The sequence below is a fragment of the Homo sapiens genome, chromosome 12 (genome assembly GCF_000001405.40).
Source record: "Homo sapiens chromosome 12, GRCh38.p14 Primary Assembly".
Classification (NCBI taxonomy): domain Eukaryota; kingdom Metazoa; phylum Chordata; class Mammalia; order Primates; family Hominidae; genus Homo; species Homo sapiens.
In genome coordinates this window covers 71,357,058-71,361,732 of record NC_000012.12, presented here as the reverse complement: position 1 = coordinate 71,361,732, position 4,675 = coordinate 71,357,058, and the positions used below count along the sequence as shown (strand labels likewise).

Sequence of the window (4,675 nt, the reverse complement as noted above, 5' to 3'; positions counted from 1 at the left end):
TGGGGCTTAATACCTAGGTGATAGGTTGATAGGCGCAGCCAACTACCATGGCGCACGTTTACCTACATAACAAACCTGCAGGTCCTGCACCTATATCCTGGAACTTAAAATAAAATAAAATTAAAAAAAATCTTTCTACTTTTTTAATGTTGGTGTTTATTACTATGCACTTCCTTCTTAAAACTGCTTTTGCAGTATTCCATAGGTTTTAGTATGCTGTGTTTCTATTTTCACTTGTTTCAAAGAGTTTTTAATTTATTTCTTAATTTTTTTTATTGACCCATTGATCCATATTGTTTTGCATAATGGCTATACTAATTAACATTCCCATCAACAGCGTATAACAGTGTATCCTTTTGGTCATTCAGTAGTACATTGTTTAATTTCCATGTATTTGTACAATTTCAGAAGTTCCTGTTGTTATTGTCTAATGTTATTCCATTGTGGTTAGAAAAGATAGTATGATTTCAGTTCTTTTAGATTTGTTGAGACTTGTTTCATGACCTAGCTTGTGGTCTTTCCCAGAGAATGTTTCATGTAATGATGAAAAGAATATGTGTTCTGCAGCTGTTAGATGAAATGTTCAATAAATGTTTGATAGGTCCATTTAGTTTAAAGTGCAGTTTAAATTCAATGTTTCTCTGTTGATTTTCTGCCTAGATGATCTGTTCAATGCTGAGAGTAGGGGTATTGAAGTCCCCAACTATTATTGTGTTGGAGTTGATCTCTCTCTTTAGTTCTAATAATATTTGCCTTATACATCTGGGTGCTCCAGTGTTGGGTGCATTTACATATATAATTGTTACATCCTTTGCTATATTGATAATTTTATCATTATATAATGATCTTCTTGGCCTCTTTTTTGCTATTTTTGATGTAAAGTGCATTTTATCTAACATAAGTATAGCTACTCCAGCTTGCTTTTGATATTCATTTGTATAGAATATCTTTTTCCATTTCTTCACTCTCTGTCTATGTGTGTCTCTACAGGTGGAATGTTTTTCTATGCAGTATATAGTTGAGTTTTTTTTAAATCCATTCATTCAGTCCATATCAAAATTTTAGGTGGAGAAACTTAATTCATTTTATTCAAGGTTATTACTGACAAGGAAGGACCTACTCCTGTCATTTTGTTAGTAGCTTTCTGTTTTTTTCTTTTTTTTTGTATAGCTTTTGTGTATTTTTTCCTCTTATTTTGTATCATTGCAGTTTGGTGGTTTTCTGTAGTGATAAGATTTGATTCTTTTCTCTTCTTTGTGTCTGCTGTACTAGTGAATTTCATACTTTTGTGTGTTTTCATGATAGTAATTATATCTCTTTTCTTCTAGACATAGGACTACCTTGAAAATATTTTATAAATTGGTCTAGTGGTGATGAGAGATGATTTCTCTCAGTTTTTGCTTATCTGGGAAAGATGTTATTTCTCCTTCATTTCTGAAAGATAGTGTTGCTAGGTATAGTATTCTTGGCTGGATTTTTTTTTCTCTTCAGCACTTTGAATATGTCACTTCATTCTTTCTTGGCCTGTAAGGTTTATATGGAGAAATCTGGTGTTAGTCTAAAGGAGATTCCCTTATATGTGACTTGATGCTTTTCGCTTACTACTTACAGAATTGTCTTTTTTTCTTTGACTTTTGACAATTTGACTGTAAGCCTTGGGAGGACCTTTTTGGGTTGAATCTGTTTGGGAATCTGTTTGAGCTTCCTGGATCTAGATACCTGTATCTTTCTCCAGACTTCGGAAGGTTTCAGATATTTCATTAATCAGTTTTCTATACCTTTTCCCTACTTTTCTCCTTCTGGTAATGCCATAATACAGAATTTTGTTTGCTTAATGGTGTCCCATGTGTCTTGTAGGCATTCCTCACCCTTTCATTTTTATTTCTTGGACTGGGTAATTTCTAATGACTTATATTCAATTTCAGAGATTGTTCTGTTTAATCATGTCTGCTGTTGAAGCTCTCTATTGTTATATTGTATTTTAAAATTTTATTCCTATTGAATTCTTTATCTGCAGGATTTGTTCCATTCTTTTCTGATTTCTATCTCTGTTGAATTTCTCATTCATATCATAAATAATTTTCCTGATTTTATTGAATTATCTGTTTGTATTTTCTTATATCTCATTTAGTTCCCTCAAGATGATTATTTTTAATTCTTTATCTGGAAATTTATTAATTTCCTTTTTATTGGGGTTCGCTCTTTCTTATTGGGGTCTGTTATGGAATTATGTTCCTTTAGTGGTGTCATATATTTTTGCTTTTTCATGTTTCTTTTGTCCCTGCATTGATGTTTGTATCTGATACCTCTTCCAAAATTTCTACAGTGGCTTTCGTAGAGAAATACTTTCACCTGCAACTGGGTTTTAGTGTACTAGTTAGGAAGGGTATAGGGACTCTGTTTCCAGATAAGTGCAGTCTTCATGCAGCTTCTTCAGCTGTGTTCAACATCAGCAATAATTCTGGGCACTCCAGTCACCTATGCTGTAGAAGTTTGTAGCAGTGGCATAGTTTGTTAATGTCCTCAGTGTCAAGGGCTTTTGAGATCCTCTTATTTTCACATTCCCCACCTCCCCTGAGGAGCCTTAGGCAAGGGGATCCTCTTGGTGTTAGGTCTGACATAGCCTATAAGCAGCTGTACGGCATAGGTTTCCAGGTGCAGGAGCTCAGAGTTGCTGTGGGGCTGGGGTCCTAGTCTCAGGATCTTGTAAACCTCTTGTGGCACCTGGGTCTTGGGGTACAGAATTGCTTTCTGTAGCAGAGTTGAATGTAGAATTGGGGTACAGAATTGCTTTCTGTAGCAGAGTTGAATGTAGAATTGGGGTACAGAATTGCTTTCTGTAGCAGAGTTGCCCACAGAACCAGGATCTGTGACTCTGAGGCACTTCCTAGTAGCTTGGGCTTGTGGGGGCTGGTTGTAGCTATGATTCTACCCCTGGGGGGCCAAGGCACAGTACTGGCCCAACTTTGAGGAAGAAGGAGTGCTCTGGAGATTTGAGCCTGGGGAACAGAATACAGCTGCAATTTGGGAACCTTAGCCAATAGGGCTCTGTGACAACTGATGTCCTAGCAGATAAATCACTTTGTAGTAGTGTCTCTAGACTCCAGGATGATGGGGCTCAGCACTATCCCAGACTCTGTTAGGCCCAGTACAGTGGCAGCAAGTACCCCAGAATGGCAGGTAGCTGTTGAGAGGGTTCTGCAGCGGTTGGAGGGGAAGGACAGCACAGTAATGACTCCACTGTCCAGTGAGAGGAGTATCTCAGCAGCTCAGACTCTAGGGAGGTAGTCCAGCTCCAGGGAAGCAGGGTAATTAGAGTTGTTTGGCCAGTAGGGATATAGGGTGGGGTGTCTCAGCTTAGCCATTGTCCTGTTTTCCTGGGATAAGTGTACTACATCAGCTCAGCCCTGGGATGTGCAGCTGATTAGCTCAGCCAGGGCACCAATTTTCCCAGGACAATGTGCTGCTTTGGCTCAGGTCATACTGTGTGACTGTTCTGAGTGATCCAAGCACCATTTCCTGGGATGCAGGACATTGCTGCAAGTAAGGTACCATGGAGGCAAAATTGTTCTGAGCAGCCAAGGTGCTATTTTTCCAGAAGGCTGCATACCACTTCAGCTTTGGCCTGAGTAGATAGAGCAGGAGTAGGTAAAGCAGCTCCATCTCTACTTGGCCCCACAGGGAAGTGTGTAACAGCTGCTTTCAGCTCTGATTAGGGATATTGGGCCGCTAGGCTGAGGTGGCTCAGTGGTGGCTTAGGCTCAGGGATGAAGTGGCTACTCTCCCCTAGCACAAGACACTCCAGCTGTAGTTCCACTTCCAAAATGGCATAGCACTGTAGCTGCGCTGGCCATGGGGTGGAGCACAGTGCCGGCTCCTTCTCCGGGGGGATTACAGCTATGTGAACTCCAGGCAGCTCCCTTAGCTGGGCTTAGTGCTTGTGAGGACTGCAGGGGACCCCAGTGTAATGACTGCAGGTGTCCAAGGTGTTAATGGGGGTTGCTGAAATCCTCTTGTTTACCTCCTTGAGAGGGGGAGAAGTTCCTCCTGGTTCCCAGCTGATTCTTTCTGGGAGATGGGGTTGTGGGGTCCTGGTGTTTTCTGCTGTTCCCTATGTGGCCCTCCTGGGATTTTGTGCTCACCAGGGTTCTGTTACTCCTCTGATGCATGCAGTAGGACTCGAGGCTTCTAGTCAGCCATCTTGCTGATGTCACTCATTGTTTTCTTCATTTTTTTTTTAAAAATGTAATTTTGAACTATATTGAAGAATTTTCGGCTCAATCTTTCAGTTTATAAAACAGTTCTTGAAGGCCTTACTTCATATCTCCCAATGTAGAAGTAACTAGCCTCTCCTTTATGCTTGTAAAGACATTTGTTTTAGTAACTGCAGCCTTGCATTGCTCTTAGTTACTTGTATATCTATCTCCCTCCAATGTGCCATAAGCTCTTTGAAATCAGGAACCATGTCATGTGCATTTTAAAAATATCAACAGCCTAAAAATTTAATGAGATAAATTTTGGCTCAAGGTGTGCACTGTCTTTCAATTACTAGTAAGTAAAAAATAGATGCTTTGGTTCTTAGCTTTGTGTGTTGCTCTGTCTTTCTAAACTAAAGCCTCTGAAGCAAAATGTCATTTGTTATCAAGAAGAAAATGTCAAAAAAATCAAAACATTG

At 39.7% G+C, this 4,675-nt stretch overlaps 1 annotated feature.

The window, feature by feature from the left end:
• Positions 3,753-4,253: an enhancer, noted in NCBI's record as "H3K27ac hESC enhancer chr12:71751260-71751760 (GRCh37/hg19 assembly coordinates)". NCBI's record gives its function as "activates a minimal SCP1, AML or CMV promoter by ChIP-STARR-seq in naive H9 embryonic stem cells {active_cell/tissue: H9 hESC(naive)}" and the evidence as "EXISTENCE:reporter gene assay evidence [ECO:0000049][PMID:30033119]".